The 25,163-nt window shown below is 35.9% G+C and overlaps 1 long non-coding RNA gene across 1 annotated transcript; it reads left to right on the top strand.

The window, feature by feature from the left end:
* The first annotated feature begins 1,032 nt into the window (after nt 1–1,032).
* On the top strand, nt 1,033–25,149 carry LOC105374397 (uncharacterized). The gene is made up of 3 exons (XR_925191.3): nt 1,033–1,204; nt 5,311–5,444; nt 24,819–25,149. It is a non-coding gene; the product is annotated as an uncharacterized LOC105374397 (long non-coding RNA).
* Nucleotides 25,150–25,163: the final 14 nt, after the last annotated feature.

Raw genomic sequence — 25,163 nt, 5'->3', positions numbered from 1 at the left:
CTCCCCTTCCTTCCTTCCCTTTCCTTTCCTTCCCTCCCTTCCTCCTTCCTTTCTTTTCTTCTTTCTTTCATTTACATTACAACGTTAGTTATTAAAATTCAACAATTAGTAAGAGTTAAGGAATTACAGAAAACTAAGAAAATCATTAGATATCTATTAATCATCACTGATTCAGATTGCCAGAAGGACTGCTGTACACATTAGATTTCACAGAACGGTGTGCATGGATTGGATTTTCTCTTTTTGCCACAGTAAGCGAAAAGGAAATGCATCATTAGCTATAAAGCACAAAATGATAAAGTAGCCAACTGTGAACAAACACTACACATTTAAAAATTATATTTTCAGAGCCAGTGGGAGAGAGGTTTTCTAAAACGCCAGAAAGTCAAATGTGAATATAATCCAAATAAGTGTAAAAAACTGTAGGATTGGAGGTAGGAGGGGGAGTGTGAAAAGCACTCTTAAAACAGTGACTATTCCTGGACATAAATTTTTTAACATTCAGATGAGTACACTACTTAATAAAAATTATTACTTGGAAATAAGTAGTTATTTAAATACTACAAATAATTTCTGGGCAAAGAGTTTACTAAGAGTTTAATTTATTTTTAGATTTAAATAGTTCTATTTCAGAATTAAAATGTAACCCACCATCGAATTTCCATAATGTACCCTCTTCTTCAGTATGAATTATTGAACTTTCCTTAAGTATATAAACATTATTACAAGTATATTTTTCACTCCGTCAATACACATTCTTATGTTAATTAAACCAGTATATTTTTAATAAAATAGAATTTTGTGAGGAATTTCTTATAGCATGAAGATGTAAAATTATATAATTAAAGGTTTATGGAAACTCAAGATTAACTTGCAGCCACATATACAGTTTAGAAGAATGCCAATCTACTTCACCGTCTATCTCTCTCTGTTGCTTTTTGTAGCACTAATATATAATCTTGTTACCAAAATATTTCAGGTTTCACAATATATATATACTGATACGTCACATCTTTTGATTCCTAGGAGATACGGAGCCGTCCTTGTGGCTTTTAAGCCTTCTTGGTTTAAATTCTTTGATGGAATAAAATGATTAATAATATATTCTCTAATTACTGAAAAGGGAACTCCTACCACATGGCCAATTGTGTTTGGTGTCCCTGAAACCCTAATTGGGAGATTGACTGGAAGATTCCTAGTTGAGGTATGGCTTGAAAATAGCTAATAAATATTTGTAACCCACGTTGAACATACACATTAAGGAACATGTTGCATAATACACATCTGAAGGAAAACATATTGTACTTTTTATGTAGAGATATGCTTTATGAAGTCTACTATGTTTTCAGTTTGCATGGTCTGATTTATCCTCATCTTTCTAGAAAAAGAAATTTCCTCTTAAGACACTTAGTAATTTTTACCTGATGTTATATTTATATTGTATATGAACATATATAATTCTCTACCAGACAAAATATGCCCTTGTATATATTACAGTAAATTAGCACAGTATTCTGAAAATGTTAGATACAATTAATGCATGTTGAAATAATGAATAAGAAAAAGATTTGATGAATGGGTTACCTGATTCAGAGCAGGCAGACCAGGAACATAGTTTTACTTTGCCACTCTGTTTTTGTTTTTGTTTTTGTTTGTTTTGACTGATGGCAAGTCCCCACATTTTTCTGCACTAGAGTTCCATTATTTCCAAAATAAAGGTCTGGGACTAGATACCCCAAAGGCCCCTTTTAGTGATGACTTCCTATGAATTTATGAGAGGGGAAAAGCAGAGTAATGAAAGTGCAGGGAAGAAAAGAAGAAAAGAGGTTATGATTACAAGCATTTTGATAAACAAATGTTTCCTCTCATTAGATTTCACTAGAATAAACTTCATTTTCACTGAGATAGTAAACATCGTGAGACAGAAAATTATTTTGACAGATTTAATGCAGTTTTTACTTATTTTAAGATTATTTCTGATTATAAAGATTACTTTCTGATATATGTGTGTATTCAATATCTTAAATATGGAGACAAAAAGGACAAAGAAGGAAATAGATTATTCATAATTTCACCACCAGACAGAATATCTGTTAATATTTTAGAGAATTCTATCATCTTAGTATATCTCTATATCCTTTTAAAAGTCAACATCCATGGTCTATCCATTTATGTATATATTTATTTACCCATCTATTTTCCTATCAATAAAGATAAATATGTTATTTATAGACGTGCACAATACAATATCTCATCTATTCATTTAAATCTATCCCAATTTTCTAATCTCAGTTAAATGACTCTGAAGACATTATTTTAATAGCCATTGTGATGACTAAAATTATCTGTTTGGCCACTTTGAATTTCTCCTCTTTCCTTCTTTTGGTAATAGATATTTTCTTTCTTTATGATGAATTTGTTCCGAGTAGTTCAGACCCAATGCCATAAGTCTGGGCACATGACTAAGCCATGGCCAGTCAGAACAGTACATTCCTGGCTGCAGTAGTTTAAGAGAAAGCAAATAAAACCAAAACAACTAGTATGGATGAATGCTTCTGTGGTGTTTTGGTGAAACCACTGAAAGATAGGTACCACTATTCCCTTGGAATGAGTAGTTATAAGATTGATGTAATCCTATTTGCCAAAGAAAAAAATCCACACAGAAAATAACAGTGCTGAGGGAATAAGACCAGTAAGACTTTGGAAGGTATCTTCTGATTCTCTGGTTCAGTCAATGCCTGAAACTAGTATAATTATGAACTTCCTATTATGAGTTGATGGAGTCCCCCACCACCTCCTTTGTTCAATGAGTTAGGTTTTCATGCCTTACAAAAGAAACTGTCCTGACTAGTACATTTAGATAAGTGGCATATGAAATCTAACATATTTTTCCTGTTTATAGTATTGGATGTATCCATCTTTCTTCTATAATAATATAACTGCATTTTTATAATTTAGTCTTTGCCTATATATCTGAAGAATGAAGTAGGACAGTACAGGGATAGTCTCCTGAAAACAAAATTTACAGAATAAAGTGTGTGTGTGTGTGTGTGTGTGTGTATGTGTTTATTCTATGTCTGTTAACAAAATGCTACTCAGGGACAGGCGCAGTGGCTCACACCTGTAATCCCAGCACTTTGGGAGGCCAAGGCACTGCAACAGCTTTAGACTCTATAGTCCCAACTTTTTAAAAAGACATCAAATCTAGTTTTTGTTTTTCCTAAAGTAAACCTCGAGTATCTGTGGCCTGGTGTGGTGGCTCATGCCTGTAATCCCAGCACTTTGGGAGGCCAAGGTGGGCAGATCACCTGAGGTCAGCAGTTTGAGACCAGCCTGGCCAACATGGTGAAACCCCATCTCTACTAAAAATACAAAAATTAGCCCAGCCTAGTAGCGCATGCCTGTAATCTCAGCCACTCGGGTGGCTGAGGCAGGAGAATAACTTGAACCCAGGGGGATGGAGGTTGCGGTGAGCCAAGATGGCACCCCTGCACTCCAGACTGAGAGACAGAGTGAGACTCCGTCTCAAAACAAACAAACAAACAAAAGGACCAAAAAAACAAAAACAAAATGCCATTCAGATAATTGGACAGCTTGATTGTTATCAACACTAATCTTTGAGGTATATGCTTCAGGGCTAATGGCTTGCAGCATGAAGCACCTCAAGTTTCATTATCTATTATACATTAAATTAATTGGATGGTGCTGAATCTTCCTTTGTCTGGCAATCCTGTGGTTTTCAGGCTCACTCCGTCATCATACAAAGCCATATAGCTGACAATTAAGTATCCCTCCCTTCTCTAGCTTGTTTGGTGGGGACACGGAAGCATCGAAGTCAGGAGGGACACACAAATGGCTACTTCTCTCTTTCTCCACCTTGATATTTAACCTTTTTTCTCTCTCACTTTACAAAAATAATTTTCTCTCATCTAAATATCACTCTCTCCCTCCCTCAAGGTGAACTGGGAACAGGAAGAAGAAATTCAAGAAGGGAAGGAAAGTTTTTATAATACTGCTATTTTTGTGAATAGACCTTGAATTATCTAGGGCCGGGAGTTTAAACACTCTTGAGAACTGTTGTGTTCTTTGAACTCCTCACCAACAGGAATCCCTCCACTCTTGCTCATCTCTCCTTTAGTTACATTGACAATGGCAAATACTCTCTGCTACCACTGGTTGCTTGTTCCTGTCACAGCCTCTATTACTCTGTTGAGATAGTCTCTTCTGCTAAAAAGAATGTTACTGTAACATATTAGATAGTACATGATTGGTAAATAGTGGAATGATATCAATATAACAGAAGAAGTTTCAGAAAGTCATATGTGAGTTTGTTTTTCGGCATATTTATATTTTCGGCCACCAGTATCAGCAGTTGAACACAAAGTACACTAACAGAGTTAATCACAGCAAACTACTGAAGTATGCAGTTGCAGATATGATACCCAATCAATGCACGTTCTCCTTCTTGGCCTAGCTTGGCCATATTCTCTGTCTGGGAAATGCTTATTGCATTATTATCTCTATTCTGTGTTCATTTTGCCCTTCTCTCCATAATTTCTCAGTCTCAAGCCTTCCTATGTGCCCTACCATTGTATTCCCTTTGTCTTAAAGGTAAAACCCTTCATTTACTATTGTATTTATTTATTCAGAATTTAACATGTGCTTTTACATGTTAGAATTATCCAGTTCCTTTGCAATTACGTGTGTGTGTGTGTGTGTGTGTGTGTGTGTGTGTGTGTGTATTTCTATTCTTTTTTTAGTAATAAGATTACAAAGGTTGCCTGGGTTTTGTCATCTCTCTCTAACCTTTTTATCTCATAAACTCAGGTTATTATTATTATTTTAATTTTTCTTTTGAGATGGAGTCTCGCTATGTTGCCAGGCTGGAGTGCAGTGGCTCAATCTCGGCTCACTGCAACTTCTGCCTCCTGTGTTCAGTTGATTCTCCTGCCTCAGCCTTGTGAGTAGCTGGGATAACAGGCACGATCCACCATGCCCAGCTAATTTTTGTATTTTTAGTAGAGACGGGGTTTCATCATGTTGGCCAGGATGGTCTCAATCTCCTGAACTCGTGATCTGCCTGCCTTGGCCTCCCAAAGTGCTGGGATTACAGGCATGAGCCACTGCGCCCGGTCAAGCTCAGGTTATTTTTGCAGGTCATTCAGGATGACATATTTTATTACTACAAATGCCTGTCCCTTTATCTTCTCTCTTGTGAGGCCTGCTGCACCTTCCAGGTGACCCTTTTTGACAGCAAAACCTAAGACAAGTTAATGTTGATTCTCTTTTTCTCCAACATTTTATCCATAGGAATGGTGATGGTATTCTTTTATCCACTTTGAGAGAAACTTTGAGAATGTGAACAGCCACAAATTTAGAAGTTTCTTTTTTTGCTTTGCTATATACATGGACAATAATCCTGTACCTTGCCTGTGATCTTCCAGGTAGGTGGCAGACACAAGTCCGCTGTGTTTCCCTGTGGGGATGCATATTAAGCATCTAAGTGGTATCCTTAAGGTCTCTCTGTTTACATGGAGTTAGAAAGTAGCACAACTGACACATCCCAGTTGGGGATATATGTCTCCCTGCACAGCTCTCTCCAATGACTGTTCCTCAACACTCCTGTTTTGTTTTGTTTTTCTCTATGATCATCTGACGCTTTTATATTCTTATTGTGGCATGGAATTTAAAAGCTTTTTAATCTATTATTGACAATGTACTTTTTAACTTCTATACCACCTTTGATATTGATTATTTTTCTTTTTTTGAGATGAAGTCTTACTCTGTTGTCCAGGCTGGAGTGCAGTGGCATGATCTCGGCTCACTGCAACCTCTGCCTCCTGGGTTCAAACGATTTTCCTGCCTCAGCCACCCTAGTAGCTGGGATTACAGGCATATGCCACCACGCCCGGCTAATGTTTGCATTTTTAGTAGAGACAGGTTTTCACCATGTTGGCCAGGCTGGTCTCGAACTCCTGACCTCAGGTGATCTGCCCACTTTGGCCTCCCAAAGTGCTGGGATTACTGGCATGAGGCACCACATCCAGCATGGATATTGCTGACTCTTATGTGTTCTGGAACTTTCATTCTAAGTTCCTTTTACATATATCTCTATGTACACACTTATCTATAACTATTTTGAACCATATTGCAGACAAGTTGGTAAATTGGTATATTTCATTTACATCAAGAAACATGTAAAGCCTGTATTTTCTTCCATTTAAGATTGCTTTTTAAGATATGAAGTGATTCAATTTAAACAGTCAGGCTTTTAATTTATTTGAAAAAGTGTTATTGCTCTGAAAGCAAATGGAGATACCTTAAGTGACTCCATGAGCTATGAACATGTGGCTCAGTGTTCTACAGTTGGCTATAAAAGGAGGCATCACATGCTTCAGAGTATATATGCTTCTTGATTACTTTGGTCAGAATAAATAAGTGCTGCTAGTAACCATGGACTGTCTCTCTAAATATTTACCATGTGATTTTTGTCTCACATTTTTCTCTTTGCTGGGGCATACTTATCCTGGAACTCATGGTTTCAGCTCATCACTTTCAGTTTCCAAAGGAATACATAACAAAAAGTACCAATGATAACAGCATATGAACCCTGGGTAGGTTCTGAATCATTCCCTTGAAATATAAATAATACCAATATTCAGAGATACTCTTCTGATTTAAGGTTTCTTTATCCACCTGTTAAGGAATAATTTTTTTAAAAAGCATAAAATTATGACTCTCATAGAGATATAAAATGATCACATGTCAAAGATTTTATTTGACTCATTAATTAATGAAAAAAGCAGTGAGATGTGACAAATGGTTTGTAAGATAAATCAAAAGCAGCACATTTATAGTCAGATAAGAGATGCTAAAACACATTTACAAATGGGTGCAAACTGGCAAAACTCTTGAATGTCTACAGGGCCATAATCAATTGCATTCAATAATATAATTTGCAGTTTTATGAACAGGAATTATTTACATCAGTATTAGTGCACTGTAAACAAATTTCTATCTCTATAGAGTAGTAAAATAGCCTAGTCAAAGACAAAGAGAAAGACAACCCTGATAAATGAGCCAGCCAAGACACGCACCAAATTTAAAAGCCTTTTGTGAATTTCTTTAGGGAAGCATATCTCAAATCCTTCTATGTACTACTTCATATATTAGGTGGAAATGCTAAATGCTTAACATCCTACATATACACTGTTAAAGCTTTGTGGTAAATGATCGCCATCATCGAGCATATCTGAACTGGCTACATAGTTTTGCCTCTGTAGTTGAGTTCTGATTGCCTTGTTGTCTGATCCCCGATAAAAGTTAGGGCACTTTGAGGTCAATGACTATGCTCTGTATGCATCACCTAGCCCGATCCCTGGTTCACATCAGGTACTTAGTTAATGTCCAATGAGGGCATAAGTGATTCGAGAGAAAATTATTCTAAGGTCACTCTACTAACTTAAAAGATAATTTTTTCTCCTTCTCTAGAAAAATTTAGTTATTCAAAAGCAAATACTGAAAAAAAGATCTCAAGGTATATCATGCTTATGTATAAAACAAGTCAGTATTTGGTTTTATAGTTTTATAAATATTTTTGCTTAGGAAAATATTAGTTGGAGACAATTTTATATACTTTCAGCTCTACAGCACATTATTCTAAGGCTCAAAGTATTCTTTGTCCTTAATTTGAAACATTTGGCATTTATGCTCCAAAGAGCAGCTCTGTTAATGAGAGAATATGTTTTGCATACTCCTGGTCCTGCCAGTAATGTTTTCAAACTAAAAATCAATTTTTAAACAGCAGGCTTCTGTGACCATGACACAGTTGTTAAAGTCTCTTTTTGGCACAATATCCTGCTTTCTTTAGTCTTTGTTGATGCTTTTATTTTTAAAAAGCTACGTTTTTATGCTACATTGGTAACTTTTTTCCAAAATTAATATTTAAACCAAAGTATATTGGAAAATAAAATAGAAATGCATTAACATTACATAAGCCTGAAGTTAGTAGGATCTTAAATTTTTATTTAGTAAGTTGGAACAAGGCACATTTTTTTTCTGGAAACAAATAAAAAAGAGAGTAAAGGAATGTCCTAAGAACAAATAGACCAGGGCATTCTACAATATTTGAAGACAAAGGTAAGATAATAATAATAATAATAACAATAATAATATTAATAAATATCCATGCATTTACACAATCAAAATAACAAAATATGTTACAAATTAGCATTTATTTTATTTTGTACATAACTTTGTGTTTTAGAGATGTTAAGATTTTCAAGGGAGAAGAATATCAACATTATTTCCGTGAATTACCTTGAAAATATTACTCATCGAAACTATCTCTCATTTTTAGTTTTAGAATAGTAATACTTGGCTTTTAAAAGCAGCAGTAAGAACAGTTAGTTGTAGATTATGAGTCCTATTAATAATAAAGTTAGTTTGCCCGAGGCATTTGCTGGTACTTTGTTTGAAATTTGACTCTCAGTTTCCAAATTGATTCATTCCCTTTTGGAAAAAAATAGAACCACCAATTTTAGTATGCTTTTTCCAGAGAAAAATTGCTGCCTAGTTCAGTTCAAGCCAGTTCATTAAGTATCTCTTGACATTCTATTATGTATCAGACCTTTTTGAAAGTATAGGGGTACAAAAATGAATGACATTTTTAGACTAGTGGGAGAGATGAACACAAATATAACTTCGTGTTCAAGGAAGTAGGATGCTAAAGAATCACTTAAAATCTCCATAAATTCAAGAAGACCTTTTTGGAGAATGTGACCCCTTGGCTGAGGGTTGAACAATAAACAAGTTAACAAAGTGGAAAGGTGAAAAAAGCTTTACAGATAGGGTGTGTGTTTGTGTGAGTGCGTGAGTGTGTGTGTGTGAAATGGTGAAGTGAAGTGTGGCAAGGAGATGTGGATGGTGAGATGGGAGTGGTGTGTTTCTAGAAACAGCTTCGGGTCCCACCTCGTTTCTCCTTTTAGGGAACTCCCACTCTACTGTGGGTATAAATATTAAAGAAGTTTTTTATTTGACAAAAGTGTGGGATACTGTCAGAATACTTAGGAAAGCCTCGTTATTTAGCTGGGTTTAGAGTAGACTTCTGGAATTTCCTGGTGGAAGACAAAAAGAATGAGGATGCATTAGTCATAGAGAAGAAGGTGGGAGGAAAGTTTTAGTAGAGGCAGTACAGAGGCAAAACAGAACATGTGATAATGGAGGAGCTGTTAGAAGTTTGCTAACAAGTTTTTGTTGGAAGAAGTTCGGTGTGCTGTGTACCAAGAGAAATTGGCAAGACATGAGGCTGGACCTCATGGGAACATTATACACACACATACCTACACACACACACACACACACACACACACACACACACACGTATACACATATGTGCATATATGATTGTATATAAATCTGAAAATTAGCTTTTTAACTTTACAACAGCATTACATTAACAGAATTATTGCCAAGAGAGTACAGAGAGTTCTCATATACTGTATTTCCAATTCCCCCTTTAGTATCAATTACATGTTACATTAGTACGGTGCATCTGTTATAATTAATGAGATAATACTGATACATTATTATTAACTAAAGTCCATATTTTATTCATCTACTCAATGCCCGTTTTCTGTTCCAAGATCCCATCCAGGATACCACGTGACTCTTAGCAGTCATGTCTTCTCAGGCTGTCTCAGTTGAGAGAGTTTCTTAGACTTCCCTTATCTTTTATGACGTTGGCAGTTTTGAGGAATGCTAACCAGATATTTTGTGGAATGTTCCAGATATTTTGTGGAATGAACAAATTCAAACTTGTTTTATTTTTTTCTCATAATTAGACTGGGTCACTATGTTTTAGAAGGAATACCAAAAAGGCAAATTTCCCTCATCATCACTTCATATCAAGAGTACATATTACCAATTTAAGTAATCACTGTTGATATTAACCTCGATCACCTAGCTTGGGGTACTGTCTTAGATTTATCACTGGAAGTTTTTTTTCCTCCCTTTCTATGCCATGCTCTTTGGGAAGAAGTCACTGTGCACAGTTTGGACAAGAAGTGGGAGCTGGATCCTCCTTTTTTGAAGGAGGAATACCTGCATAAGTTACCAGGAATTCTATGTAGGATATGTGTTGATTCTTTCCTCATCTAATTATTTATACAAATGTGTATTCAATCATTACAAATATTTGTATTTTCAAAATATTTTGAGTTATAACCCAATGGTATTTTCTTTTTGTTCTTCAAATTATTCCAGTTACAGCCATTAAAAGATCTTTCATTGGCTGCCATATCCTTTTGAAATACCACCAGCATTGTAGTTTTATTATTATTATTATTACCATTTTCTATGTTTTTGGCACTACGGTTGCTGCTGGTTCATCTTGTACATCTTTCTGCCACAGTCCTACAATCAGCCGTTTCCAAGAAGCTATGATTCCTTTTATTCTGGTCATTAGGTGTGCTCATTGCTACTAAGATGTGGTTGCTTCTAGGGCTTCTCAGCCGACAGAAAAAACGAATATATGCATGCATATCAGCCTAATATATCCACCTACCTACAGACATTTCTATATGCAACGACCTATATCTAATAGGTTGGTGCAAAAGTAAATGTGAGTTTTGTCATTAAAAGTAATGATATTAAGCTCAACATGAGTCCCCACTGATGTCTTCCACTACATTCCATTACCGCATGAACATTCTAGCTTCCTATCCTTGCTTATCTGTAAACTCTTACCCCCAACAGTGAGAAATCTGGCTCCTAACATCCACAATTTATATACTTAGCTCAGTTTCAGTATAAATGTATTGTCATTTCAATTGTTAACCCATTCTCTCTGAAAAACTACTCTACCAGTTAGAGTACAGTGCAAACACTTCCTGTGCTTCACACATTCAACCTCCCCACGCCCCACCAACTTGAACTCCTGGCAACCACTGACCTATTTATCATCTCTACAGATTGCCCTTTCCAGAATGTCACATAATTGGAATCATGCATTTTGTGGCTTTTCCGGACTGGTTTATTTCACTTAACAATGTGTGCTTAAGATTCATCTCTGTTTTGCCATGGCTTGATAGCTCATTTTTTAAAGTTGCTGAATATGGAGGTAAGACAGGTTTGTTTATCGATTTTGCTTATCATATTGAAGGACATTTTGGTTACTTCCATGTTTGGGAAATTATGCATAAAACTGCTGTAAACATTTGTGTGCAGGTTTTGTGTGGGCATAAGTTTTCAAATCAGTTTGGTAAATACTATGGAGTATGATTCCTGGATTTTAGGGTAAGACTATATGTAGCTTTGTAAGAAACTACCAAATTGTCTTTCAAAGTAGCTTTACTAGTTTTTATTCCCAGCAGCAGTAAATGAGAGTTCCTATAGCTTCATATCTTCATTGGCAGTTAGTATGGTCAATTTTTAAGGTTTAGCCATTCTAATAGTTGTGTAGCGGTATCATATTCTTGTTTTAATTTACCATTTCCTAACAACGAATCATGTTGAACATTTCTGTATGCTTATTTGTCATTTGTATATCTTTGTTAGTGAGGTACCTAGTCAGATATTTTGCTTATTTTAAAATTTAGTCTTTTTCTTATTTTTGATTTTTGTAATTTCTTTGCATATTGTGGATGCAAATCTTTTTCAAATATGTGTTGTGAAATATCTTCTCCCAGTTTGTATTTTTATTCTAAACAGTGTGTTTTGCATGGTGGAAGTTTTCAATTTTAATTAAGTCCATCCATTTTACTTCATGGATCAGATGCCATATTTAGAAACTCATCAGCTCTGAAAAGATGTTACACATCGTATGTCATCAGGGAATTACAGATAAAAATAACAATGTAATGCCACTACACACTGATTATAATGGGCAAAATTCAAATGCTGGCAAGAATGTAGAACAACTGGAACTCTCACTCATTGCTGGTAGAAATGTAAAATGGTACAGCCACCTTGGAAGACAGTTTGGCTGTTTCTTACAAAGCAAAATACACTCTTAACATGTGATCCAGCAATAGTGCCCCTTGGTATTCACCCGAAGGAGGTGAAAGCTTATGTCTACACAGAAACCTGCACACAGGTATTTATAGCAGCTTTATTAATAATTGCTGAAACTTGAAAGCAGCCAAGATGTTCTCATGTGGGTGAATGAATAAATAAAGCGTGATGCATTCATGTAAACGAATATTACTTAAAACTAAAAAGAAATTAGCTATTCGGCCATGAAAAGACATGGAGAAAAAATGTAAAAGGAGACTTCGAAAAGTTCATGGAGTAAATGGAATTAAAAGATAAAAATAAAAATATAAGATTTATTTCTCAACGTAAGCTTCATCAAGGTCAAGATACTTTTGTAAGCAATGATACCAGCCATTTAGTTCATCCCTAAAGAACTGAGGGTCATGGGAATTTAACCATGTCAATGTAGTCTCTTTTGCATTATTAACTGGAAATAAAAGGGTGCCTTTTAGAAAATTTTCAGATTATGAAACAAAACAAAGTCAGAAGGAGACAAATCAGGACCATAAAGTGGATGCCTAATGATTTCCCATCAAAACTCTTGCAAAATTGCTCTTGTTTGATGAGAGGAATGAGGAGGAGCATTGTTGTGGTAAAGGACTCTGGTGAAGGTTTTCCAGGCGTTGTTCTGTTAAAGCTTTGTCTGTCTCAAAGCCCCTCCCTCATAATAAGCAGATATTATTGTTCTTGGACCTTGCAGAAATCAACAACCAAATGTTTTGAGCATCCCAAAAAACTATTGCTATGACCTTTGCTCTTGACCAATCGATTTTTGCTTTGTCTGGACCACTTCCACCTGTTGTTAGCCATTGCTTTGCTTGTGATTTGTCTTCAAGATCACACTGGTAAAGCCATGTTTTATCTCTCATTACTATTCTTTGAGGTCCTGAAGAAATGTTTCAGGAGCTTGATCTGACTTGTTTGAAATTTCCATTGAATGCTCTGCTCCTGTCTGCAGCTGATTTCAGTGCAATGGTTTTGCCAGCGATCAAGTAGAAAATTTCCTCACCTTTAATTTTTCAGTCAGAATTTTGTAAGCTTAACAGATGGAGATGCCTATGGTTTCGGCTATTGTTTGAGCTGTAAATTGTTAGTTTTCTTCAAATAGAACATGAACAAGATTAATTTTTTCCTTGCAAATTGATGTGAATAGTCTACGTCTGCAATCTTCTACTTCAACATTGCTCCATCACTTCTTAGAATAAGTTATTGATCTGTAAACTGCTGATTTATTTGGGGCATTGTCTCAATAAACTTTTCATAAACCACCAATGATTTTATCACTCTTCCACCCAGGCTTCACCACAAATTTGATGTTTGTTATTGCTTCAATATTAGCAAAATTTATGTTGCTCTGACAGGGGCTCTTTTCAAACTGATGTTTTATCCTTTGTATTTCCTCAAATTAGGTCCTGCTCAGCAATGTTATTACAAGTTAGTACAAGTTTATTTTGGTCCAAAAAAGTTGATATCCATGCAGAGTTTTTTTTTTATAATACACACTTTCCATGAATTGTTTGAAGACCCCTTGTGTATTACTAAGTAAAAGAAGTCACATACTATTTGATTCTAACCATATGGCATTCTGGGAAAGGCAAAAACCATAGATATGGTAAAAGGATCAGTAGTTGCTAGGGGATAAGGGGAAGGAAAGATGAATCATCAAAGCACACAAGATTTTTATGGCAGTGAAACTATACTGTATGATATTATAATACATATCATTATATATTTGTCAAAACTCAAAGAATGTACAACACCAATGTACAACACCTAATGTAATACCATGAACTTTGGGTGATATTGTTAATGTAGGTCATTAATTGCAACAAGTATACCACTCTGGAGGGGAATGCTGATAATGAATGATTGATTCTATATTTTTATTATATATAGAAATATTCAAGTTATCTATTACTCCCATGTGATTTTAGTAGAGTGTTTCTTTTAAGAAATTGGTCCATTCTATTTAAGTTACCTAATTAATGGGCGCAAAGTTGTTCATAGTATTTTCTTATTATTTTTTAATGTCACTGAGATATATAGTGATGATTCTTCTTTCATTTTTGATATTAGTAATTTTGTTTTTTTCTTGGTTAGCTTTACTAGAATGTTTTTAATTTTGTTGATCATTTCAAAAAGTGTACTGTTGTTTCAATTTTTCTCTATTGTTTTTGTGTTTTAAATTTCATTGATTTTTGTGCTATATTTTATTATTTATTTTCTTCTTATTACTTTAGCCGCATATTGCTGTTCTTTCTCCAGTTTCCTGAAGTACAAATGTAGGTTATAGATTTTAGATCTGTAACACTATAAATTGTCCTCCCGTATTTGTCCGTTCTCATGCTGCTATTAATAAAATACCTGAGACTGAGTAATTTATAAAAGAAAGAGGTTTAATTGACTCTTAGTTCCGCATTGCTGGGGAGGCCTCAGGAAATGGGCTAGTATAATCTGAACACCCCACTGTCTACTGGCAGGGTTTCTGCCTAGTTGCACCCTCTTGCAAGGCAGCCTCAGGTGCCCTACTACAATGCTATCCAGGAGCCACCACTGTATCTCTTTCTCTAGCAGACCCTGCCTTCACATTGGGTGCTTTTTTCAGATGAAACTTGTATTAGTCTGTTTCACACTGTTGATAAAGACATACTTGATCCTGGGTAATTTATACAGGAAAACGGGTTTAATAGACTTACAGTTCCACTTTGCTGGGGAAGCCTCACAATCATGGTGGAAAGCAATGAGGAGTAAGTCAAGTCTTACATGGATGGTATTAGGCAAAAAGAGAGATTGGATAGGGAAACTCCCCTTTATTATACTGACAAATCTCATGAGACTTATTTACTATCAGGAACAGCATGGGAAAGACTACCCCCATGATTCAATTACATCCCATGGGGTCCCTCCCACAACGTGTGGGGATTCAAGGTGAGATTTGGATGGGGACAGAGCCAAACCATATTATTTCACCCCTGGCCCCTCCCAAGTCTCATGTCCTCACATTTCTGAACCAATCATGCCTTCCCAACTGTCCCTAAAGTCTTAACTAATTTTAGCATTAACTCAAAAGTCCACAGTCCAACATCTCATCTGAGACAAGGCAAGTCCCTTCCACCTATAAGCCTGTAAAATCAAAAGCAAGTTAGTTACATCCTAGATACAATGGGGGTACAGGCATTGGGTAAATACAGCCATTCCAAAAATATGTTGGAATTCAAAATAAGATGTGGGTGGGGACACAGCCAAACCATATCAAACCTCGGCCTACCTGCATCTGGCCACAGCTTTCACCTGCCTGCAGCCTTCCTCCACACCCGCCCCCCACCATGCATGTGTGTGTAAATCCCTGCCACCCTGCAAGTGTGCCTGCAAACACCCACTGCCCCACTGGTGCACAAAGTGTTATGGACCCCCAGCCTCCTCACTGCAGTGCTTTTGCTTTTGCTGGCAGCCCCTGTCAGAGTGTTGTTGCTAGTATACTGGCAATACCTTGGCCTCTCCACTGCAGCAGGTGCTTGACCTCAAAGGACAAGAGAACAAAACTGTGGGCCTCATCCCAGCACCCTAGGGTACAGCACATAACCCAGGACTGATGAGTTGAGCTTGGCCCTGAAAGCATCTAGAAAAAAATGTCAACTGACTGAACTCAACTTATGCCACAATCAAACCCTCAAGGGTATTGAAGAAAATAAAAGCAAAAAGCTCCATCCAGAAGACAGAAAGTTCAAAGATAACAGGAACATCAGCATACACAGAGGAGAAAAACTAGTAGAAGTATCTGGTAATTCTAAAAGCCAGAGTGTCTTCTTACCTCAAAAGCCAGAGTGTCTTCTTACCTCAAAAGCCAGAGTGTCTTCTTATCTCAAAACAACTGTAATGGTTCCCCAGCAATAGATCCTAACCAGATAGAAATGGCTGAAATGAAAGACATAGAATGCATAATCTGGATGGCAAGGAAGCTCAATCAGATACAGAAGGTTGAAACCCAATCTAAGGAAAGCAGTATATTGATCCAAAATTGAAAGACAAAATAGCCATTTAAAGAAAGCACCAACATGAACTTCTAATGAAAAATTTACTACAGGAATTTCATAATGCCATTGGAAGCATTGATAACAGTATAGACCAAACTGAAGAGTTTCAGAGCATGAAGACTCCTTCTTCAAATCATACAGAAAGACAAAAAAGGAGAAAAAAAATTTAAAAATGGGCAAACCTCCAAGAAATATGGGATTGTGTCAAGAGACTAAATCTACTACCCTTTAGAATTCCTGAAAATAGAGAAAGCAAGCAACTTGGAAAACATATTTGGGGATATGTTCACAAAAGTTTCCCTAATCTTGCTAGACAGATTGACATGCAAATTCAGGAAATTCAGAGAACCCCTGTGAAAAGCTATATAAGAAGACCATCCCCAAAACACATAGTTATCAGATTCTCCAAGGTCAACACAAAAGAAAACATCCTAAAGGCAGCTAGAGAGAAGGAGCAGGTTATGTACAAAAGAAAGACCATCAGGCTAACAGCAGAACTTTCAGCTGAAACCTTACAAGCCAGAAGAGATTGGGGATCTATTTTTGGCAACCTTAACAAAAAGAAATTCCAATTAAGAATTTTATATCCAGCCAGGCTAACCTTCATAAGCAGAGGAGAAACAAAATCCTTTTCAGACAGGTAAACACTAAAGGAATTTGTTACCACCAGATGTGCCTAGAAAGAGATTCTTAAGGGAGTACTAAATATGAAAACAAAAGAACAATACCTGCTACCACAAAACACATTTAAATTTAGTGAATTTGCCAGATGTGGTGGCTCACACCTGTAAACCCAGCACTTTGGGAGGCCAAGGTGGGTGGATCATGAGGTCAAGAGATGGAGACCATCCTGGCCAACATGCTGAAACCCTGTGTCTACTAAAAAGAATTTAAAAATTAGCTGGGCATGGTGGCATCCGCCTGTAGTCCCAGCTACTTGGGAGGCTGAGGCAGGAGAATCTCTTGAACCGGGGAGGCAAAGGTTGCAGTGAGCCAAGATCACGCCACTACACTCCAGCCTGGAGACAGAGCAAGACTCCATCTCAAAATAAATACATAAATAAATAAAGTAAGTGCATTTATGTACTTAATTATGTATTAAACTATAAAGCAACTATGCAATTAAGTATACATAACAAATAGCTAACAACACAATGACAGGATCAAATCTCACATATCAATACTGACTGAGAATGTAAATGGACTTCACACCATACTTAAAAGGCACAGTGGCAAGACCTAATTGTTTGCTGTCTTCAAGAGACCCATCTCACATGCAATGACAAGCAGAGGCTTAAAGTAAAGGGATGGAGAAAGATCTGTCAAGCAGAAAGAAAACAAAACAGCAGGTATTGCTTTGCTTATTTCTGATCAATCACTGTAAATCAACAATGACCAAAAGGACAAAAAAGGGCATTACAGAATGGTAAAGAATTCAATTCAATAACAAGACTTAACTATCCTAAATATATAAGCACCCAACATGGAAGCACCCAGATTTACAAAACAACTTCTTAGAGAACTACAAAGAGAGTTAGGCAGCCACACAATAATAGTGGAGGACTGCAACACCCCACTGAAAGTGTTTGACAGATCACAAAGACATGAAACTAACAAAGATAGGAGCTAATCTCAGCAGTTGACAAAATGCATCAAACAGACATCTAGAGAATATTCCACCTAATAACAACAGAATATACATTATTCTCATCTTCACATAGCACATACTCTAAGATGAACCATATGCTCAGCCATAAAGCAATCCTCAACAAATTAAAAATAACTTAAATCATACCAACCAAATTCTTGGACCACAGCACAATAAAAAAAGAAATCAATGTTAAGAAAATTGCTCAAAACTATACAATTACATGGAAATTAAACAACCTGCTACTGAAAGACATTTGGGTGAAAAATGAAATTAAGGCAGAAAGAACAAAAATTTGTAACAAATGAAAACTAAGATATAATATGCCAGAATCTCTGGGACACTGCTACAGCAGTGTTAAGAGGAAAGTTTATAGCACTGCATCAAGAACTTAGATCTCAAATTAGTAATCTAACATCACACCTACAGGAACTAGAAAAACAAGAGTAAACCAACTGCAAAGCTAACAGGAGAAAAGAAATAACCAAAATACCTAGGGATACAACTAACCAGAGAGGAGAAAGATCTCTACAATGAGAATTACAAAATGCTACTCAAAGAAATCAGAGATCACACAAAAAAATCAAAACAACATTCCATGCTTGTGGATAGGAAGGATTAATATTGTTAAATTGGCCATACTGCCCAAAGCAATGTACACATTCAATGCTATTCCTATAAAACTACCTATATCATTTTTTCAGATTTAGAAAGAAAACTATTTTAAAATTCATATGTAACCAAAAAAAAGTGCTCAAATAGCCAAAGCAATCCTGTGCAAAAATAACAAAGGTGGAGGTACCATACTATCTGATTTTAAACTATACTACAAGGATACAGTAACCAAAATAGCATAATACTGGTACAAAACCAGAAATGCAGTCCAATGTAACAGGATAGAGGACTCAGAAATAAAGCTGCACTCCTACAACCATCTAATCTTCAGCAAAGTCAACAATAATGAGCAATGGGGAAAGGGCTCCCTATTCAATAAAAGTGCTGGAATAACTGATGAGCCTATGCAGGAGATTGAAACTGGATCACTTCCTTTCACTACATACAAAAATCACCTCGAGATGGATTAAGACTTACACATTAGTCCTAAAACAATAAAAACATAGAAGAAAATCTAGGAAATGTCATTCTGGATACAGGCCTTGGCAAAGATTTCAGATGAAGTCTCCAACAGCAATTGCAACAAAAACAAAAATAGACAAGTGGAATCTGATTAAACTGAAGAGCTTCTGCACAGCAAAAGAACCTATCAACAGAGCAGACAACCTACACAATGGGAGAAAATATACACAAACTTTATATCTGACAAAGACCTAATATACAGGATCTATAAGGAACTTAAGTAAATCAATAAGCAAAAGCCTAATAACCCCATTAAAAAATGAGCCAAAGATATGAGCACACACTTATCAAAAGAAGAAATACACACATCCAACAAGCATAGGAAAAGGGGTTATTGTCACTAATTATTAGATAAATTCAAATGAAAACCAAATGAGATACCATTTCACACCAGTCAGAATGGCTACTATGAAAAAGTCAAAAAGTTACAGATGCTAGTGAGGTTGCAGAGAAAGGGAAATGTTTATATACTTTTAGAAGGAATGTAAATTAGTTCAGTCACTGTGGAAAGCAGTTTGGAGGTTTCTCAAAGAATTAAAATGGAACCACCATTCGGCCCAGCAGTTCCATTGCTGGGTATATAATCAAAGGAATATAAATCATTCTATCAAAAAGATCCATGCACATGTAGGTTCATCGCAGCAATATTCATAATAACAAAGACCTGGAGTCAACCTAGATGCCCATCAATGGTAGAGTGGATGAAGAAAATGTGGTATATATACACCATGGAATAGTATGCAGTCATAAAAAATACAAAATTTTGTCCTTTGCAGCAACATGATTGAGCTAGAGGCCATTATTCTAAGTGAATTAATGCTGGAAAGATAACCAAAATACTGCATGTTCTTGCTTATAAGTGGGAGCTAAACATTGAGTATACACTGACACAAAGATGGAAACAGTAGACACTGGAGATTTCTTTTTTTTTTTTTTTTTTTTTTTGTGATGGATTCTCGCTCTGTCACCCAGGCAGGAGTGCAGTGGCGTGATCTTGACTCACTGCAAGCTCTGCCTCCCAGGTTCACACCATTCTCCTGCTTCAGCTTCCCAAGTAGCTGGGACTACAGGTGCCCACCACCACTCCCAGCTAATATTTTGTATTTTTAGTAGAGGTGGGGTTTCACCGTGTTAACCAAAATGGTCTTGATCTCCTGACCTCGTGATCTGCCTGCCTTGGCCTCCCAAAGTGCTGGGATTACAGGTGCGAGCCACCTTGCACAGCCAACACTGGAGACTTCTTAAAGAGGAGGGTGGGAATTGGGTGAGAGTCAAAAAACTACCTATCGGGTATTTTGCTCACTACCTATGTGATGAAATCATTTGGACACCAAACCCCAGCTACATGCAATTTACAAACCTGCACATGCACTCCTTTAACATAAAATAAAAATTGAGAATGCATACACATGCACCCACACATTTGTATATATAAACACTTCCTGCTCGCATGGTTTCTGATGGGAAGTCCAAAGTGACTCTTATCTTTATTGCTCTATAGTTAAGAGTTCAGCCTATGCTCCAGCTTCTGTCATAATTTTGTTTTTGGTTGTCTTGAATATGATATTCCTAGGTGAAATGGTATTTTATTTGCATTTGTTGTGCTTGGTGTTCTCTGGGCTATTGAATCTTATTTTGTGTATGTCATTAATTTTGAAAAGTTCTTGGCCAATTATTGTTTTAAATATTTTTCCTTCTGCTCTGCTCTCTATTTTTCTTCTCCCACTATTCCAGTTATGAAAAGATCTTTTAATAATGTCTCAGAGTTCTTGGATGCTTTTGCTGCTTTTGGTTTTGGTCTTTCTTTTTGCAGTTCAGTTTGGGAAGTTTCTATTAACATCACTTTGAGGTTTTTTTTCTGATCTGTTTTGATTATGCTAAGACCATCAAAAATACTTTTTATAACAATGTTTTTAATATCTAGCATTTATTTTTGCATCTTAGATTTTCTGTTTCTGTGGTTTCATCACATATCTGCTCTTGTATGTGGTCCATTTTTTCCATTATATCCCTTAACACATGAACATTAGACATTGTAAATTTCTTGTCTGATGATTCCAACATTTGTTTCATATCTGAGTCTGGTTCTGATACTTTCATTGTTTCTTGTTATTGTATTTTTACCTGCCTTTTGGCATGAGACATGTTTCTTGTTGTTGTCGTTTTTGTTTTAACTGAAAGCCAGACATGTTATCTGGCAATAGGAACTGAGATAAATAGGCTTAAACTTGAGAATTTATGTTAATGTGGTAAGAAGCTGGGTTGTGTTTAGTGTTTGCTGTAACAATAGGTAGTAGAGGCTTTGAATTCCTCTTGTTTTTAGGTCTCCTCTTGACTTTGGCCTCTCCTACATGTTCCTTCTCAGTCAGAACCTGTGTCATATAGATTGTTTAGCTGTAATCCACTGTTGTTATACTACAGTTATGTTAGTGTGGTAGTACATTATGAAAACGGGATTATTCTATAATCTCCAATCTCCAGTAATTGAGACAAAAAGTTTAAAGGGAGCTGGAGAGAAAGGAATGCCCATCCCACATGGTCTGGGAGAAGGCTATGGTAAGATTTTTCCTTCTGAATACAAAGCTTTTGTTATGGAGAAGGCTCTGGGTACATTTCCCAATAAATACTCTTCTTCTCCTTTAGTCAGAGCTTGGAAGTGGTCTTTCCAGAATCTTTACTGTGAGTACCTGGTTACATTTCTGTACCTTCCTATGAAAGTTTTGGGATCTACCTATTATTACTCTGGTTTCAGTTTTTAAATCTTATGCTGTTCTAGCAATGCAGCCTCTAGCAGTTTTTCAAAATTACCATTTATCTTTAACATCATTTTATGGCTCCAGTGGCTTTTGTTCCAGGTAATCGGGTCTCTGCTGTGATTTTCTGGATTCATCTGTCTTCCAAATTTTTATGATAGTCGTTTGCCCTGCAAACTCAGCTCTTTTGTAAGTCCAAATAAAGTGATCATTTTCAGTTAATCTAGACTTTTATTATTGTAAGTTTCAGAATAAAAATTACTGAGATCTTTACATATTAGAGCTGAAACTAGAAGTCTTTATACATACTTTAACATTTTTATTCAAATTAAGTTTGATGTTGATCTTCATTTCACTAATATGGGGGAATTTTAGTTATAATCTTCATAGTGACATTTATTACTTAGAATAAGATAAAATAATCCCACATTTCACACAGTGTCAAAACATTGAGGTCTCTTAGGTACTGGCTTTTATACCCACAGAGCTTCTTGTCAAGGAGCCTATTACCCTGCACTGCCTAATGCATTTGGATGGCTGCTACCCTGCTGCTTTTGTTCAACTTGGGGCACAAAAATCTTGGGAAGGTTGGTAGTCTATGTACCTCAGGATTAAAATATTTCTCTTAGATGCTATTTGATATGGTTTGGCTCTGGGTCCCCACCCAAATGTCACCTCAAATTGTAATCCCCATAGTCTCCCCATGTCAAGGGTGAGACCAGGTGAAGGTAATTGGATCATGGGGGAGGTTTCTCTCCCATACTGTTCTCATGATAGTGAGTGAGTTATCATGATGGTTATACAAACATCTGGCATTTGCCCTGCTTGCACTCACTCTGTCCTGCTGCCCTGTGTCCTGCTGCCCTTCTCCTTTGCCTTCCAACATGATTTTAAGTTTCCTGGGGCCTCCATAGCAATGCAGGAATGCAAGTCAGTTAAATGTCTTTCTTTTATAAATTACCTAGCCTTGGGTATTTCTTCATAGCAGTGTGAAAACAGACTAATACAGTAAATTGGTACCAGGAGTGGGGTATTGCTATAAGATACCTGAGAATGTACAAGTGACTGGAACTGGGTAACAAGCAGAGGTTGGAACAGTTTGGAGGACTCAGAAGAAGACAGGAAGATGTGGGAAAGTTTGGATCTTCCTAGAGACTTGTCGAATGCCTTTGAACCAAAATGCTGATAGTGATACAGACAATGAAGTCTAGGCCTAGTGGTCTCAGATGGAAATGAGAAACTTTTTGGGAACTGGAATAAAATTCACTCTTGCTATGCTTTAGCAAAGAGACTGGTGGCTTTTTGTCCCTGCCCCAGAGATCTGTGGAACTTTGAACTTCTAGCCATTCTTTTCTCTTGTCTGTCCTCTCTCTTTTCTCATAACAAACACTCTTCATTATAGTTTCAATATATTAAATGTTTAAATATCTATTCAATATATTACATGTTAAGAAAATGAAAGAGACAAAAAGGAGTCATTTAGAAAACCTAACTTTCCCCTGGATTATGTCTTTAAGTTCAACAGATGTGATATTTTCTCAATGTAATATGCACCACAGGTCCACTAGCTTTGTGCATCTGTGTGTGAACACATACGTGAAAATACATACGCATAGGAGGCAAAGCAAAAACATGGGAATAATATTGGAAAGTATGTACATTTAACAGTAGTCACTGCTTTTTGTTTGTTTGTTTATTCCATTACACTGACATCTTTAACCTAGATTTTAAAAAAGGGGTCTACAGAATATTCTTTACTCTTATATTTCAACATACTTAGACTTCTAATGACTACAAGCCCTGATATATTGTGGGATTCAAAGTCTAATTGAATATGATATAAAGATTAAAATGTCTAAATTTCAGTGTTTTCCTCTCATTGTTTCCCACATGAAATCCGAAAATAAAACCTCTACAATTGTTTAAATAATAAATACCTATTTAAATTTTTGTCTTACTGCTCTAGTATTGAAAATAGCCATAGACATTACAAAATGTATGCTCAAGAATAAAGTACAAGATCCAGGGTAAACCAGAGAAATTTATTTGGAATTTATGAAGCCTATACATACTGTATTTATGGAATATAGATAAATTAGCTGCAAAAAATAATTAGTGAAGGGGAGTATTTAAAATACCCAATAAATTGCAGCACAATGGGAACAAAGTGCTGATGCTGGGAACTGAACTCCAGCCTTCTGTTTCCATAACCATTTCTGTTTTCACAATAGATCTCTGTTCACAAAGAACTCCCATGGCAATTTTAGTTAATATATGTGTAGTGTAGGGTTGGAAAAGAACATGTTTGTGTCTGTGTATATGTACAAACATACAATTTAATAGCAAATATTTATTTGTCCATGATAACATGCTTGAAGTGTTTTCTAGTGCATAACATATATTTTACTCATTGTATTTTTTACAACCCTAGTAATATCACCACTATATCATTCAATATTTACATATTGGATAGATGAAATAAGAGACTTGCCCAAGGCTAAATTGCAATAAACAATTCAACTTTAATTAAATACAGGATTTAAGTCCAGTAAATCTGTCTCCAAAGTCTATGCTCTTAACTCATTCATTTGGCTCACCATTCGGGGCTCATTGCGTTATTGTATTAATGTCTATGTGAGTAACAGCACAATATAAATATCATACACTATTTGTTTCTAGTCCATCAAAGTTTTTCTTTGTGAAGCAGTGATTTTAGTGTAGAATAAAAGAGGATTGTTTTTCCTCTTTTACAAAAAATATTCTATATTCTATTTTATTTTCAGTTTATTAAAGCTATAAAAAACACATCAAAATAAGGTATCAATATACTAATATTAGTTTATCAATAGATATTTATTAATATTATGTTATATTATATAAAGTAGATTGTTATAAGTAATAAATATGTATTATAATTATCTCTTGAGACAGAACATACAAGGACAAAAGGGTTTGCTTTATAACACAATGGATTGATTTGAGTAACACATTATCAGTGCTTCATTCACCTACACAACCTCTAGATGCCTTCCAGTAGTTTCTGTTAATTTGTCATTCAAATTGCAATCAAAAAACTAAACTCCAAAATAGTCAACAATTTTTCGCAATGAAAGTAATGTGAAAAGAAACCATATTTCTTAACTCTAGAATGTCAATGTGTCTTCTGGGATAAATGGTATTCTGAATATGTTCACTATTAACTTTCCCTTCCAGAACACAGATTGGGTTTGTTATCAGTTATATTGATGGGTTGTCCTCAGATGGTTGAAGACTGAGGCTGCAGGGATGATTGAAATCTGTAGGCGGAAGAGACAACTGCAATTCCTGGAGGTGTTAGAACTCTGCAGTGTTTTGGAGGTCTGGTGCTGCCATTTATATTTCTCTTCCCTGGAACTCTTTCTTCATAACAGATTTTGAACTAAAAATAAAGAAAATCTCCCATACTCTGTTAGGAGCTTGATTTTTCAAAGAAATCTTGCCACCTCCTTTGAGAAAATTTCTAATGAATTTTACACCCTTTCCTCCATTTATTATTTCTACCAATCTGGCCACATTTTT

Source organism: Homo sapiens, chromosome 4 (assembly GCF_000001405.40).
Source record: "Homo sapiens chromosome 4, GRCh38.p14 Primary Assembly".
NCBI lineage: Eukaryota > Metazoa > Chordata > Mammalia > Primates > Hominidae > Homo > Homo sapiens.
Note: the sequence above shows the minus strand (reverse complement) of the source record. Positions and strands in the feature narration are given on the sequence as shown.